The 17,140-nt window shown below is 42.2% G+C and overlaps 1 protein-coding gene and 1 long non-coding RNA gene across 26 annotated transcripts in view, besides 1 other annotated feature; one reads left to right on the top strand and one right to left on the bottom strand.

Annotated features, from left to right (window-relative positions):
* Nucleotides 1–17,140, top strand: part of AFF3 (ALF transcription elongation factor 3) — a 597,172-nt gene that overhangs the window by 433,393 nt on the left and 146,639 nt on the right. For 4 of the 24 annotated variants that reach the window (XM_047444289.1, XM_017004085.3, XM_047444288.1 and 1 more), the window contains exon 1: nt 1,656–2,094. The exons of the other annotated variants lie outside the window; for them this stretch is intronic. In XM_047444289.1, coding sequence (XP_047300245.1) covers nt 1,997–2,094 — 98 coding nt within the window. In that variant the 5' untranslated portion in view covers nt 1,656–1,996. Of the gene's footprint in view, nt 1–1,655; nt 2,095–17,140 lie in introns of those variants that run through there. 24 annotated transcript variants of the gene reach the window in all.
* Nucleotides 965–1,165: a silencer, noted in NCBI's record as "peak3800 fragment used in MPRA reporter construct". NCBI's record gives its function as "represses an SCP1 promoter by STARR-seq MPRAs in K562 erythroleukemia cells {active_cell/tissue: K562}" and the evidence as "EXISTENCE:reporter gene assay evidence [ECO:0000049][PMID:32103011]".
* LOC105373504 (uncharacterized) lies at nt 7,618–16,999 on the bottom strand. Of its 2 annotated transcripts, XR_007087154.1 has the most exons (5): nt 16,733–16,999; nt 11,314–11,384; nt 9,131–9,255; nt 7,796–7,977; nt 7,618–7,681 (listed from the first exon to the last, which is right to left on the bottom strand). It is a non-coding gene; the product is annotated as an uncharacterized LOC105373504 (long non-coding RNA). The 2 variants fall into 2 exon arrangements; XR_007087153.1 differs by having other exon boundaries at nt 7,672–7,977.

Here is a 17,140-nt window from a genome sequence, read left to right as displayed (position 1 = left end):
GGCTGGCCTTGAACTCCTGGGCTTAAGTGATCCTCCCTGCTCAGCCTCCTGAGTAGCTGGGTTCACAAACAGGTGCTAGAGCACCTGACTCTGCACCCGCCTAGAGCCCATACTTTTTCTCACACCTCTGTGTGATTATTTTGTTTCTCCTTCTGGTACTTTCTCCCTTTACCCCCTTCTGTTTCTCTTCCTTCTTCACCTATCTTGTATTATTCTTTGAATTGAATTAAGAATTTAAAGTCCAGTTTAAGAATTTAAAGTACAGCCTCCATTTCAGCTATTAAACTTCAAAATAGTTCCAAAATACTGAATATCAATGTGTCTCTAAATAAGAGAACGGCATTTTGGAATTATGTGTCGCCCTCCTGGGTTTCTTTAGATGTTCAGAAATACACCTGAATTAATAATTAATGTAATTAAGATCTTCATCTTATCTTTAAATGTCAGAAGCATATCAATATTTTTATCTGCCCTTTCAAAATGCCCAAAAAGTGATCATTTTATTACATTTCAACATTCATGTGAATTCTATTGGGTTTTCTAATAATCACTATTACTAATCATGCTAAATTGCCCCAAAGTGAGCACTGAGGAGAGAAAACTATATCAGTGCCTTCAAAAGTACTAAATTTGGTGTTCAGATTTTGAAGGAAAAAATTAAAACTGGAGCATTTGCATTGTTCTGTTACTGCGCCAAGGTCCCATGTTGCCTGGGGGACCAATTTTGCAAGCTCTGGCCTGGCCTGACACCGAGTGAGACCTGAAACCTGGGATGGACTTCTTTAATATAAGGATGTGACATGCTCTGTGGAGCTTTTAGTACAACTTACTGGGTCAAAAATAAACTAAAATGAGGTAATCAAGAACATTACATCTAGACAAAAAGCGTTCAAGAGGATAGGAGTGGAAATTTCTCTTCTTCCAGGAGTTGTAAATGGATGCCTTTGTTTTTTTTAAAATCCCTTCCATTGAACCTCCAAAGTAGTGTTGCCAGATAAAATATAAGACGCCCAGTTAAATTTGAATTTCAGATAAACAGTAATTTTTTACAATATGTATGTCCCATGCAATACTTGAAAATAATTTGTAGTGTAAATGTGTCTCATGCAATATTTGGGACATACTTATGCTAAAAATTTGTTTGTTGTTTACCTGAAATTCAAATTTAACTAGGCATCCTGTATTTTCATTTGCTAATTCTAACAACCCTACCAAACATCATAGAGACTGTAGTCCAGTCCACCAACCGGACTTTAAATTCTTAATTCAATTCAGAGAATAATACAAGATAGGTGAAGAAGGGAGAGAAACAGAAGGGGGTAAAGGGAGAAAGTACCAGAAGGAGAAAGAAAATAAGAATGAATTCTGGCAATCTGCCAACCAAAATAACTAAATTTTGCAAGAAAGAAATCCTAAAACTGAGGTCATAGGATGGAAAAAGTCTGCTTCACAGACTCTTTAGCCTGAAGATTGGCCAAAAAAAGAAAAAAAAAAAAAAGGCAGGCATCCTATTAACATCTAAATACCAAAGCTCTTCCAGGAATGGAAAGATTTGGAATGTGAAGATTCTTAGCTTTGGAACTTTGTTAAAATACCACAACTTGTTTATTAATTGCAAGGGGGATTTTTTTTTCAGCGAGATACTTTGGTAATTCAATATCAAAGAAGGCTACCTAACTTCAGTTTATGTTACTAAGACGCGTTTGAAACTTCGTGGATAACCTTTTGTTTGTTTGCCTCGTGCTGAAATGCAAAAAAATTATCTGATACTTGATACGAAGAGGAATTTACCTCTGTTTAAAAATCACACATTTCTCCCATGAAGCATGAAGATGGCTTTTTTAATTTAAAAATATTAACTGACAGCTTCAAGATTGATTTTTTTTTCTTTAATCTCTAACCAGACAAATTACTAAAAGCAAGAAGGCTCTTCCTTTAATCTTGGACATGTCACAGATATGACACTGTTCTGTAGGAGATGGCTTTTTAACTGTGGATGGGGAAGAATAACCTTTGGAATTTTAGGATGTTGTTACAGGCAAGTTTACTAGTTTTTGACTTGCTAAGCCACAACTGGAGCCAGCCTTCATCGGGGTAAGAATATTTTCATTGTACTATTATATCTTCGGTATTTCAAAAGTAGGATGATTACATTCTGGGGAATATGGCCTTTGAGGCTTGTGCTGTCTGCTGAATATGCAAATGTGAATGTCCTATAAAAGAGGAGAGGAACTGACAGTTTCTGTCTGTGCCGTAAACTTTAAAGAGTCCAACAGATGATATGTTGGGGCTGCTGGAGCAGGAATTGGATCACACCATCATTTTAGATAAAAGAAGAATTTGTATTTCTTTGAGAGGCATTTAGAGGGCTGGGCTTACAGCTTCCCTCAAAGCCAAACAGCTATATGCGAGACTCTCATTTCTGTAGTTGTTTGGTGATGTTACTGCTGCTTTAAAACAAAAAATCGGCCTAATGGTGCAAGGAATTTTCTCACCAAATTAATTATGGGTCTGCCTGATAATATTTTTTTCTAATCAGTGAAATATGAACTATTATTGCCTTTTCTATAGTCCTTCCTCCATTCTGTGTCTTACTGTTTCTTTTATAAGGTGCATTGTGTGGTTAGTTCAGATAAAGAACAATGAAATTTTGTATACTTTACATTAAAGATACTACAAAAACTTCCAAAGCCAGGCTCTTTCCAGAGGGCCAGAGATGGTAAGCCCACAAGCCTGGCTGCCTGGAGAAATCCGCTGAGAAGCCACAGGGAACCATCAGCCCACCAGTGACAGCCCGGATAGAAGCAGGTGCTGTTTTAATAGGAGAAAAGTGTAAAGTTAATTGTCAGGCAATCTGAATGACAGAGGACCAATCGGTATGGTAAAGTCAAGTATCCTATCCAGATAGTTTATTTTTCCAAACCAGTCCCCTGACTATGGTTTATAACCAGGGTGTACATCAGAGCACTTGTGGAGCTTTTTAAAAATATTAATACCTGTAATCTGGAGAGTCTGGGTCTACCAATACCTGCCTTATGATTCTAATATACATACATGGTTGAACATCGTAACTCGAGAGGTCCCAAACCTGGTTTAACCCTCTAAATCACTGAAGAAACTTTAAAATGCTGCTTCCTGGGCCCCCTCTACCAGGGATTCTGCTTAAGTGTGGCTGGGTTGGGGCCTGGGAAGCTGTATTTTTGCAAAGTTTCTTAATCGATTTTGATGTTTGGTCAGATTTGGAAACCACCATTGCCCCAACAGGATCACATTAATTTCAGCAACCCAAAGGGCGTGTTTTTTTTTTTTTTTTTTTTTTTTTTGAGGCGCAGTTTTGCTCTTGTCACCCAGGCTGGAGTACAATGACACGATCTCGGCTCACTGCAACCTCCGCCTCCTGGGTTCAAGTGATCCTCCTGCCTCAGCCTCCTGAGTAACTGGCATTACAGGTGCCCGTCACCATGCCCTGCTAATTTTTGTATTTTTAGTAGAGACAGGGTTTCACCATGTTGGCCAGGCTGATCTCAAACTCGTGACCTCAGGTGATCCACCCACCTTGGCCTCCCAAAGTGCTGGGAATGCAGACGTGAGCCACCATGCCCAGCCAACCCAAAGGTTTTTTAATGCAAAAGAAAAATAAGCTAGTCAGCTGTGTAGTTCATTTGGAGCAGCATCCTAAATTTCTATTTTTTTTTCACCTTAAACTTATTTCTAGCTTGATTCATGCCTGCTTCTCTCCCATTTCAGGAAGAAATGCCTGATCCTTTTCTCCTCTGGTGCCGTTGACCTCATTCTTTCTCTCCCCCTCCTCTCCCAGCCCCTCTCTTGTTGTTTTCTTAATTGTTCTTCCTACTCAGGCTTATAACATTTCCATATTTTCCCAAACAATACAAACACAGGCAAATCCATCAACCATTGTGACTACTGAGCACTCTCTCCTTTCCCATCCTTTAATTTCTCACCAGCCCTTCCTCCCTCACAGCTGGTTCCCAGCATCTGTGCATTGTGGGCCTCCATGGTTTAGTTGCCCCTGGGCCAAGCCTCTGACATCTTCCCAGTCTTTAACTTCCTTGACCTCTTTGCAGCATGGAACCCCATTGACAAGGCCTTCTTCGAACCGTCTATTCTTTGCTGCCATCCTACTATATCCTCTTGATATTCCTACCAGGGTTCAGCCTTGGGTCTGTTTTGGTTTTTTTCCTCTACCTTCTTCTCATGGTGATCTCATGCATTCCTATAGCTGCAATTTTCATCTCTGTCCAGATGCCTCCCAGATCGAGATCTCTAACTCTGATGTCTTCCTGGAGCTCTTAGCCAATCCTTCTGCTAAGAGTTTTTGACATCTGAGGTCTGAGCCCTAATGAATGGTTATATTCTTGTTCCTGTAAGGTACACCCCTGGTCATGAATGAGGGTGTGTTATATGTGGTACCTTCAGGCCTGGGGCCTGTGCCAATAGAGTATTACTGGATATAGGAATAGCTCTGACACCTCAAGGTCACCCTAGAAGTTGAAGGATTTCAGGGCTCACATATTTTAGACTCAAACTTCTAGAACACTGTTCTGACCCAGCTGAGCTATTGAAGATAGTTTTCACGGCACTGCTATCCTTGATTGACCTCCTAAGGGATCTGTCTCTCTTGAGAATAGGCCTCAACTCTAATTTCCTTGGGCCCAAGACCAAGAGTGGGCAAGGGGAGCCTAGCCTGCACCTTGCCACCTGGTGTTGGCCATTATCAGGGTGCCAGGAGCTGAAGTGGCACATGTTAGTGTCTACAGAGTGCCACGTGGGTAGTGCTAGGTCTTCCAGGAGGCTCAGCCACTGATGACTTTAAGGCATGCAGGTCTCCAGCATGGCTGCAGGAAAACTAAGAGAACTTGTTTCTAGTAGATCTACCCTTAAAGAATAGCTAAAGGAACTTCTCCACCAGAAAGAAAATGGTAAAAGCCCAAAGCTGAGATTTTCAGAGCAGGGAGAACAGGATGAGTAAAAATAGAAGTAAACATACTAGACTATTCTTTATCTCATGAGCTTCTTTCATCATATGAAAGAAATGGTGATGCAGAAGTTATAATGACATCTGATGGTGCTGGTCAGTGCATGTGGAAGAAATACTTAAGATAATTGTATTTTAAAACTGGAGGGGATACAGAGATCTAAATGGAGGTAAGGTCTCTACACCTCACTGGAAGTGGTAAAACATTGACACCAGTAAGCTGTGATAAGTTACCTATGTGTATGGCAATACTTAGAACAACCCCTAAGGAAACTGTGTACAAAGCAGTGTACTCAGAAACATTATAAGTAAATCAAAATGCAACTCTAAGAAATGTTCAAGGCCAGTTGCAGTGACTCATGCCTGTAATCCCAGTGCTCTGGGAGGCCAAGGCAAAAGCATTGCTTGAGGCCAGATGTGTGAGGATGTAGTGAGCTATGATCATGCCACTGCACTCCAGCCTGGGTGACAGAGTGAGACTCTGTCTCTAAACAAAAAGAAAAAAGAAGAAAAATGTTCAAGTACCCACATGAAGGCAAGAAAAGAAAAAAAAAAAGAGAGAAATGAGAAACAAAAGGAATAAAACAGTAAACGAAGAAAATGGCAGACTTCAATCCTAACACGTCAATAATTACTTTTAATGTAAATGGTCTAAATACATCAATTAAAAGACGGAGATTGGTGGAGTGGAACGTTTTCAATGAATGGTGTTGAAACAATCGGACATTCATAGGCTAAAATAAAATGAACTTCAATCCAAACTTCACATCGTATCCAAAAATTAACTCAAAATGCATTCGAACTTCTAGAAAAAAACTGTGATAGAATAATGCCCCCCACCGTATCATTCACATGCTCATCCCCAAAACCTGTGATTGTGTTACCTTACGTGGCAGAAGGAACTTTGCAGAGCCAGTGACAGATTTGGAAATGCTGCTGGCTTTGAAGATGGAAAAAGGGGCCATGAGTCCAGAAAGGCAGGCCGCCTCTAGAAACTGGAAAAAACAGGGAAATGGATTCTCTCCTAGAGGCCTCAGAAGGAACACAGCCCTGCATCATCTTAATGTTAGCCCAGTGATACTGATTTTGGACTTCTCACCTGCAGAATGGTAAATATACTTGTGGTGTTTTAAGCTACCAAATTTGTGTAATTTCTTATAGCAGCAATAGGAAACTAATATGAAAACATAAGAAAATATCTTTGGGACCTGGAAATGGATGAAGAGTTCTCTGACTTGACACAAAAAGCTTGATCCATAAAAGGAAAAACTGGTAAATTGGACTTCATCAATATTAAAAACCTTTTGCTCTGTGAAAGACCTACTAAGAGGATGTCAAGAGAAATTATGGCCTGGGAGAAACTATTTGTAAACCACATATTCAACAAAGGGCTTGTATGTGGAATATATAAAGAACTCCCAGACCTTAGCATTAAAGAAACCATCCAGTTACAACAATGGATGAAAGACATACACAGACATTTCATTGAAGTGAATATACAGATGGCAAATAAGCACATGAAAAGATACTGAACTTCATTAGCCATTAGCAAATACAACTTAAGGCCAGGCATGGTGGCTCACACCTGTAATCCCAGCACTTCAGGAGGCTGAGGCAGGCAGATCACTTGAGTCAGGGGTTCGAGACCAGCCTGGCTAACATGGTGAAACCCTGTCTCTACTAAAAATACAAAAATTAGCTGAGTGTGGTGGCCCACACCTGTAATCCCAGCTACTCAGGAGGCTGAGGCAGGAGAATCACTTGAACCTGGGAGGCGGAGGTTGTGGTGAGCTGGGATGGCGCCACTGCACTCCAGCTGAGTGACAGAGTGAGACTCTGTCTCAAAAAAGAAAAGAAAATGCATATTAAAACCACAATGAGATGAGATACCAGTACATACCTACCAGAATGTCTAAAATAATGATAACACCAAACACTGGCAAGGATGTGGAGTAACTGGCTCACTAACATATTGCTGGTGAAAATGTAAAATGGTATAGACACTCCAGAAAATAATTTGGTAGTTCCTTTTATAGCTGAAAATGGACCCAGCGGTTGCACTCTTGGGCATATATCCCAGAGAAATAAAAATATATTTTCACACAGCAACTTGTACGTGAAGGCTCATAGCAGCTTTATTTGCAATAGCCAAGAACCAGAAACTACCTAAAAGTCCATTGAATGCTACCCAGCAATAAAAGGAATGAACGGTTAATACATACAACTTGGATGGATCTCAGGGAATTTATGCTGAGTGGAAAAAAAGCCAATTTCAAAAGGATAGATACTTCACATTCCACGTATGTAACCTTTGTGAAATAGCATAACTATAGAGACGGAGAACAGATCAGTGGTTACCTGTGGTTAGGGTTGGGGTTGAGGGGTGGCTATACAGGGCTGGCATGAAAGACGTTTGTGGTGATGGTGTGGTTAAATACTTTGATTGTGGTAGACTGTTACGTGTAGCTACACGTGTGATAAAATTACATATAGCTACGTGCACACACATGCACAAATGAGTCCATGCATAACTGTTGAAATCTGAATAAGCTCTGTGGATTGTTCTAATGTCAGTTTCCTGGTTTCGACATTTTACTACAGTTACTCATGACACTAACCTTGGCAGAGGCTGGGTGAAGAGTGTTCAGGACTTCCCTGTACATTTTGTGACACCTTCATGTGAATCTATAAATATTTAAAATTTAAAGTTTTTGAAAACATACTCATCATTCTCAAAGAAGCAGCTTTCTATTTTTGTGTATTTTCTTTTAGTCTTAATCTGTCTAATAAACAGCATACCTGATGAGAATACTAACAGAATCCTCCAGTGTGCCAGTGACTTCAGGCCTCTAGCAGGAAGTCATGAGGTACCGAAGAGACGTTCTTTCCTTTTTGCTTCCTGGGCATTAGGAGGCCCTTGCTTTTTCTGTCTGCACGACCACACCTCACTTTGGTGTGCCATTTGTCATTTGTAGCCTAAGCTGAAAATGCATGGGAGTGAGTGTTACCAGTCTATCCTGCCGCCACCTTGCGCACACACCCACGTCCACACCCACACATCCTCACTTTGCCATCTAACCCAGTGTGCCAGCTTGCTGCTCCGGCCACTGTGGCATTCTAAATCCTATGGAGTCCAGCATGCCTAGTACTCTGGTCCTGGACATGCTGTCAGTCAGGGCCACACTGTCCCTTTCAGTATGAGTGTGGAGTGTTCCCCGGGAATTTACGAAGTGTGAAAGCATTGGGCCTCCTCAATCCCTGAGTACACGTGACCGTCTCACGCTCACTCCGAGGAGGTCAGGCAGGTGACCAAGGCCAGCCCCAGTGGACCTCACAACAGACAGACATTGTCTTTGGCCCTTTCTGTTCCTCCTTCTGTGCTTCCTCCTTCCCCCTGTCCCCATCTTCTGCCAACAGGCAACAGTTTGTCCTTCTGCAGCACAATTGCAAGTCTGTCTTCTGGACGTTGTTCTAAGCTCTGGAACTTCCCAGCTCCTAGTCCTTAATTCTGCCAGACAGGCTTCTCTGCCATGTGTTCTGTTCCCTCAGGACACTTTCAGGTAAACAGAGCTGACAAACCAATTTGTACTGCAGATTTAATAAGAGATATAAACCAAAATGTGGGTGGCTTTTAAGAATGTAATTTGTAAGTCCCCACCTTTATCTTCCTGCCATTTTTATCTTAACTGAAGATTTTGATGAAAGCCTTTACCTCAAATAAACAAGGTAATGTGAACGTGGGAATTTTGAGCACCAAAGAGAAGCCAATAAAACAGAGGCTTTGGCCAGGCACGGTGGCTCACGCCTGTAATCCCAGCACTGTAGGAGGCCAAGGCAGGTGGATCACAAGGCCAGGAGTTCAAGACCAGCCTGGCCAAGATGGTGAAACCCTGTCTCTATCAAAAATACAAAAATTAGCCGGGCATGGTGGCACACGCCTATAATCCCAGCTATTTGGGAGGCTGAGGCAGGAGAATCGCATGAACCCGGCAGGCGGAGGTTGCATTGAGCTGAGATCGCACCACTGCACTCCAGCCTGGGCGACAGAGCGAGACTTCGTCTCAAAAAAAAAAAAAAAGGAGGCTTTGAAGCAAGTTGCAGCAGCTGGATGTTCTCCCACAGACTCATTCTTACCTTGCAGGCAGAGTAGATACTGCCCAAAACATCATGAATGTTATTTGCAAAATCCACTTTCTTCCACGCTAAATGAGGAGCAGGAACCCTTGGTGGAAATCCAATTCCACAAGATGGGGATGAACCTAAATTCAGAAAGTTTCCCATGTTAACAGGTGGAAGCCCATAGACACCACAGAATGCGATTGGTTAGAATCATGTTTATCCCTCGATTCCCTTTCAGCAGTTGCCCACAAACAATTGATACACAGAAACCATTATGGTTCTGAACAGAAGGAAAGCATTGTGGTGACCTCAAAGAGTGAGGCAGAGATCGGCACTGCTGTAGATGAAATTGCCCATGCCCTATGCCCATAATCCTGTTTTGCACTTTTGTGTGTGAATTGAGGGACAGGGAGAAGAGTTCTCCCATAAACCTGGGACACAAGCTGAAGGAAGCCTGTGCCACTGCCCACCTCTGTGGGCACTACCGTCTGAGATACAAATTCAATCTCAGTTTAAATTCTCCCAGAAGTTACGTTATCCCTAGAAGTTCACTTGATGATTAATGCAGGTTTAGGAAGATATCATTAACTACAGCAGAAGATGAGAGAATTGCTCTCCCCACTTTTAGTATGCCAGGCGATAGGTCCTGTCACATCAAGGATTTTGATGTTGTTATTAAATGAGTGTCATTTAGGTGAACCGCATGGTCCCTCTTCTTACATTTTCATGTCCTGCCCATGACCCAGTGGCCCAGGAAATTGAACTGACCCCAGTGATCAAAGGGTGCCCATCAGAAACCAGCGGAAGCCACAGGTGAAGGGGTGGAAGGTGGCAGGCAGCTGGAGAGGCACAGCTTCCAACACCTGAGCAGAGGTTTCTTTGCATTCATAGGAAAACGCAGTGGTTTTTCAGCTAGACACTCATGTGAAACCTTTATATTATATAACTGTTATCCCAAAATGATTGCATCATTTAAATGTCTCATCCACAGAAACCACATGTGTGGTTGCTCAGGTATGCAGCTTTGTAAGGAACTGGCATTCTGAGTTGGTGAAGGGATTAGAGTTTTTTAAATCCCTGTTTACCAAAGTTTCTTATATATTTTACTAAAGCCATACACTTCTTACATTGATGTGCTCCCTTTACTGTTTTTCTTCTATTTAAATGTAAATATTAACATCAAAATAAAGCTAGAATGGGTAATCATATTTTTATAGAATCCAGTACAAACTAAAAATAACATTTTGGTTATATTTATGTTTCTTTTGATTAACTAATACAGTAAAAAGTTACCACCTAGTTAAAAATACAAGGTTTCTCTAAGGTACAATAATAAAACTAAGCTTATGCCTAAAATATTCTCACTGAGTGCCTGTGAATCCACGACTATTAGCACTGTGGAGCAATTTCTCCTTGCAGAAGAGTGCTAACTCTATCCATTAAAGCCTTGGAAATTGCTGGTAAATATGTAAAAAATCAAGTGCTTAAATGGATAGCAATTATTGGCAGAACCTAAACTGATACAAAAGTGTTCCACTGTCTCAATATCAAAAGCCCAAGAATGCCAGATTCCCAAAGTGAGTCAAAGTGCTTGGATTGCTTTGCATAAACATGGTTAGCCAGAATCAACACCCTGGGATTGGAGCTTGAGGTGGAATTTCCAAATCCTGCAAATGTTATGGCTACAGCCCCCCAGCACCCCAATGCTGGACAGCCTAAGGCATGAGTCACAGGCAGACTCTTGGCCAGTCAGCACTCTGCAGATACCAGCTTGGCCCTAATACTTACTCATTAGTGGTGCTGGAAGATATGGAGCTATCCTGTGGGTGGAGAAATGAACTTTAAAAAACACAAGTAAGCTACTAAAACAGTACTCCAAAAGCAAGTGTGAGAGATGCCTATCTAGAGATTATTGTTGCACAGATTAGATTAGGGTTTTCATGCTGGTGGGAAGTTCAGAGATGGGCTAGCTCTTGAAACTTTGGATTAGGTTCAGGAACAACATAGTGCTCTGCAGTGGCCCAATTCTACAGATGATACACACTTGGAATTATATTTTGAACAGCTGGGAATACACAGAAAATTTTTAAAGGAAAAAAAACAAACATAGAGCATCATAAATGAGACCTTATGATGCAGGTGTGCATATATTGGCAGCATGCAAATTCACAAAGTCAGGTATTTGTTCACTACCTTACCTTGTGTTCATAAAACAATGTTTGTGAAAGCACTTCCAATTCTGTTATATCATGTTGTCTTCAGCAATAGCCTGTGAAGAAGACAAAGCTGGTTTTATTATCCTCATTGTAAAGAAAGCACAAGGAAGTTATGGCTGAGGAGTTAACACCAGAACTAGGGCTAGAACTCAGATCCACTGATTCTCAGCTCTTCACACCTGGCAGAGATGTCAGACCCTAAAAGGTGTTCTCAGAACCTGGGTCCTTACCAGGATCTATTTTCCTCTTATTCTGATCGCAAGGGCCTTTCTGCAAGAGCAGAATGTCTTGCCTATTTAAATAAAGAATTACTGTTAACAGTAGAGGTATGTCCAGAAACCTAGTTTAGTATTTTACAAATTGCTCTTCCTCACTATATTTGCTCTGTAGTCCTGAAACTTGCATTTTTTTCTCTGTAAAAACTCTGGACTCTTCACAGTTGCTCTTTGGGTTGGAAAGTCCTTTTCAAAGTAAGATATCTACAATCTCAACCATACATACACACCCTCCCAATCTCCCACACCCAGGACAGTGATGGGCAGAAGTTGGGCAGAATTTGGGCAGGAAGGCCATCTCGCCCCACCTGCCGTGCTGCCCAGCTGAATGGGCGGCAGGACTCCATGTGGCATTTAGGATTCTCAAAGCTGCAGGAAACTGAATGGAACTCTTGTAAAACACGCCCTCGCCAGCTTTCTCCTACTTCTTCTAGTCTCTGCTTATCAAGAGCTAGGTGGACTTTTTGCCCTGGACTGAGATTCCGAGGTGGGAAGAGAAGTTGGATTAAGAGACTTGATGCCTTCAAAACGTTCAGGGTATGACAAGGGCCTCACTCCCTTAGAAAGAAATGGGTGATAGAAGAGGAAAGCAAAGGAAACTGCAAGGCTGGCAGGTCCCTGCCTATAGCCATCAAGAATTTCATCAGGCCAGGCATGCTGGTTCACATCTGTAACCTCAGTGCTTTGGGACGCCAAGGTAGCAGGATCACTTGAAGCCAGGAGTTGGTGACCAAGCTGGGCAACATAGCAAGACTCCATCTCTACAAAAAAAATTTTAAAATTAGCTGGGCATGGTGGCGCGTGCCTGTAGTCCTAGCTACACTAGGCTATGGCGGGAGGATCGCTTTAGCCCAGGAGTTTGAGGCTGCAGTGAGCCACTGCACTCCAGCCTGGGCAACAAATTAAGAGCCTGACTCAAAGAAGAAAAAAAAAAAAGAATTTCATTATTACATAGTTAGAAAGCACATGCTGTGCTATAAGATGTGGCAGAGCTTGTTAGTCCATGCTCTGGGCTTCCAGAGACCATGTCTAATACAGAAGGAAGAAAGAGCAATACAAGTGTAATAATAAGTTTGACCTGATTCTCTTCTCTTCGTAGAAAACCACATGGGTGCAGATATAACTGTGTAGGATGCCGATGCACACCCTGCATTAGACCTTTTGCAAATATTAAATGCAGAGTTTGAGTAATAGAAGTGTTAGATAAACCGACTTAAAATTGCACACTCTTTGGCTGAGATGCAATGATTTCTGCTCCCTGTGTGTAAATCACCTGAGCCTTGATGCTCTAACGTGCCATGAAGTTGGTGCAAAGAGTTGGAGTGGAATGAAGCTCTATGTTAATGAAACTTTTTATAGTTCTTCCAAGCAGCAAAGATTTTATGGGATATTATGTCAAACTGACTTCTCAGGCAATTCATTTGAGAATTTTATCTGCACCCCTCATGAAAAAAAAAAATAATCAATTTTGTCTGAATGGGTTTGGACAGCTAACTGTTGTCTGAGGCTGTCAGGCTGTGAGGAGTGAATGTCTTTCTTGGGAAAGGGATGACTAATGTTCAGTTAAAGAGCCCTGTTGGAGTGGTTGGGGCTTTGTTTTTAGTTTTTTTTTTTTTGGTTTTTTCTTTTGGTTTTTTTTTTTTTTTTTTTTTTCATTTTTCCAGTAAGTAATCTTTTCATAGATTCTAGAGAGCTCTCTGGCTAGGGAAAACGACCCTGTGATTGATCATCTTTGGTTTCAGAGATATTTTATTGCAGTCTCTTCATCACCTCAATCATCTTAGAGCATTAAAGTGCTTGTAAGTGCCCACGAGTTCTCAGAATTATACATTACAAATGAAATCCCATCGCTTACCAATAAAAAAGTAGAAATGGAGTACTGTGTTGTGCATTTGAGAAATCTTCTGCTTATTAAGGTTGTTGGAACTGAACATGTTCATTTATAACACAGCAAAGTAGGGAAGGGCGGCCCCTCCCTGTCTGTCCTGTGTGGCAGCCCTGACTGTGGTGGCTGTGGGCATGCATGTAAAATCAGAGCTTTTACAGGAAAAGGCATTTCCCAGATTTTTTTCCCCTGCAGTTTAAGGGCACATTTCCAGGCTATTTCAAGAGACCCGACTAAAAAGAATACACGTGTGCCCATAGATGTAGGAGCCAGCAGTATATCCCCTGGTTGTTGGGAAGCTAATGAATTAAATGAATCAAGCTGTCAGCAGTGAAGTCCTTGAGTATATGAGGGTCCCACCCTGGGAGACTCGCCCAGTGAAGAACTGAGCGTGGGGCCAGAAACACCCAAGATACGAAGGACTGGCCCAGCCAGGGCCACTGGTGCTGTCCACTCCAGGAACTACCAGGCACACGCGGCTGTCAAACACTTGAAATGGGGAGTCTGAGCTGAGGTAGGCTTAAGTATGAAATACACAGATGATTGTGAACACTTTGCACTAAAATAATGTAAGCAGTATCATAAGTAATTTTCATATGTTTAAATGGCAGTATTTGGACAACATATTGGATTGAGTGAAATATATTATTAAAATTTACTAATTATATTATTTAAATTAATAATTAAATCATTATTAAAATTAACTCCAGGCACAGTGGCTCACACCTGTAATCTCAGCACTCTGGGAGGCCAATATGGGTGGATCACGAGGTCAGGATTTTGAGACTAGCCCGACGAACATAGTGAAACCCTGTCTCTACTAAAAATACAAAAATTAGCCAGGATGTGGCACGCGCCTGTAATCCCAGCTACTTAGGAGGCTGAGTCAGGAGAGTCGCTTGAACCCAGGAGGCTGAGGTTTCAGTGAGCCAAGAATGTACCGCTGTACTCCAGCCTGAGTGACAGAGCAAGACTCCGTCTCAAAACAAACAAACAAAAAAATTCGTTGGGTTTTTGTTTTTGTTTTTGTTTTTGTTGGCTTTTTTAACATAGCTCCTAGAAAATTTAAAACTACATAGCGACTCACATATTTCTGTTAGAGAACATTGTTCTAGAGAATGATTCAGCGTGTGGGGTGGGACAGGGAAAGGACTTACGGAGAGCAATGCAAAAAATGTCACACTGATTAGTAGGCGTCCATGTTCTTAAAAGCCCTCAGCCACCCTGGCTTCTCCCTGGCGCCTGGGTGACCTCAGCACACACCCAGCACCCTCACTCATGTCTAGGGCACCCAGCTTCCTCTGCCTGCCACTGTGGCCTACTGCTCATAGCTCACACCAAATGTGCCCCTGTCTTTACACCTGTTGTCTGGCTAGTGGGTCAAGAGTGCCCAGTGGGTCTTCCCTTCAGTCAGAATTTGACCTTAATGTGCATAAAATCCTTTGAACGTCTAAAGCACCTATCTCTAATGTATTGACTAGAAAGTTCTAACAAAGGATTAAGGAATGAGGCCAGACGCGGTGGCTCACACTTGTAATTCCAGTACTTTGGGAGGCCGAGGCAGGCGGATCACCTGAGAGCAAGAGTTCGAGACCAGCTGGCCACTACTAAAAATACAAAAATTAGCCGAGTGTGGTGGTGCATGCCTGTAATCCCAGCTACTCGGGAGGCTGAGGCAGGAGGATCACTTGAACCCGGGAGGCAGCGGTTGCAGTGAGCCGAGATGGTGCCGCTGCACTGCACCCTGGGTGACAGAGTGAGACTCTGTCTCAAAAAAAAAAAAAGTATTAAGGAATGAGAAATGTGGATTTCTACAGTGAAAAGGCTAGATTTTAGATGGGATAACTTAACATTGGAAATAATGATGCAGTGGGAAATAAAAGAAGTGTTTGGGGTGTTTTTCTTATTTACAAACCTGAGTGTATGAATAAGGAACCAAAACCTACTGGCTTTCACTTTTATTCCTTAAAAAAGATTTTAATGACATTATTTTTTGGTAATAAGGGAAAGATAGAAAAAGTATTAGAATCATTGGATAAAAAGAATCATGCCTGGGAGCATGCAATAGCCATTTCCCTGCTCTTAAGGAACCGGCCATAAATCTAAGACTTACAAATTGCAGTATCCAGGAGGCCATTTCTATATTAATACTCATCAACTCTTTCATTTTTCTTTGGCTGAAATCATCTAGACTTCTCAAAAAATTATGCATTTTTCTTTAATAGAAAAAAATTTAAAATTTCTATAAATGGTGATACTAGATTAAAAATCCTAATAGTATATCAACTATTTCCATATGAAAATTAGATTTGGGCATATCCAGTTTTTGCAGTATCCAAGAGTAGAAAGAAAGTTTATTTCCAAGAATCTGATTAAACGTACACAAGAAAAAATAAGATTTTTCTTGTACAGTCACATTTAAAATTACCCATTTTGGGGCAATAATTTTAATGTTACTATTAGTTAATGCTGACTTTGATTCCAGTTTATAATGGAATTTGCATCACAACTTTTTAAAATCCCACTTCTCCTTATTCATCAGCCAGTTCTTTTTTCTGTGTCTTCACAGTAGTCTCTTAATTTCCATTTGGTTTGTTGGGAATCTGTCCATTTGTTGAGTTCCTGCCCTGTTAATTCTATGCAATGCCCTGGAAATAACAAAATGCATATGGGAGTATGGATTGGTGACTGCAGCAGTTTGCCCTGCAGAGGGCGAGGCTGGAGTGAGAATGGTCACTTCAATATAAGGTGACAGGAGCTGTGATAGAGGTACCTGTTCAGAGAGTCTCAGAGCCCTACAGAGCCACCTGTCCCAGGAAGGCACTTGAGCCTTCAGGAAGCTGATACAGCTTAAGACTAAGTCACCTCCTTCTGCATTAGGTTAGTGCCTGATAACCTGGCTCTCTGGAGGATACAGAGGAGTTTAATGCATCATCTCAGTCCAGAAGTCTGGTGAAGGAAGATCTGCCAGGGCTCAGTCCAAGACAACATATCCTCCATAGGGTTCAGAGAAGAGGGAAGGTCGGGGAAGGCAGGAATGTCTGGTGGACTTCTAGAGGAGTGATACTTGGGATGGACTCTCAAAAGTGTGTAGGATTTGAATTGGCAGAGGAAGGAGGCCAGGCATTGCAGGTGGGAGCCCAGCATGCAGCACCATGGGATGAGGCTCACTGCTCCCTCCCCACTCCCCTCCTAACCTTCTTCCAGGCCCTTCATCAGCCTGTCCTTTGCAATCACTCACCTGTCTGAAGCATAGCCCCTGCCTCCTGCCCCCATATGCTGTGACATCTTCCCAACTCTTGCCGCCATTAATAAGATGAGAGAGTGAGAATGAGGAACGTGATGCTGAAGAAGGGGGAGAGCAGAATCCACTCTCCTGTCTCCCTGTCCACAGGGGCCACCATGTCCATGGAGAGCTCAACAAGGGCCAAATCAGAGTTAGCAACTGGGGCTTTCCTGGGCCTTGGGACTGAGTCTTGCAGGAGGAAGAGTTAAGAGTCCTCTCTGGATTTGGGCAGGAGGAGGCCTCAGTCCACAGAGGAAGGGTGTGGGCCAGGGCTGCAGAGGCAGCCACACCCACCCTGGCTTTGAGCAAAGCTCTTCTGACCTCGCCACACCCACGGGCTCCGCTGCCAGCTCCAGAGGCTGA

This window comes from Homo sapiens, chromosome 2, assembly GCF_000001405.40.
Source record: "Homo sapiens chromosome 2, GRCh38.p14 Primary Assembly".
Taxonomy (NCBI): domain Eukaryota; kingdom Metazoa; phylum Chordata; class Mammalia; order Primates; family Hominidae; genus Homo; species Homo sapiens.
This window is presented reverse-complemented; position numbering and strand designations above follow the sequence as displayed.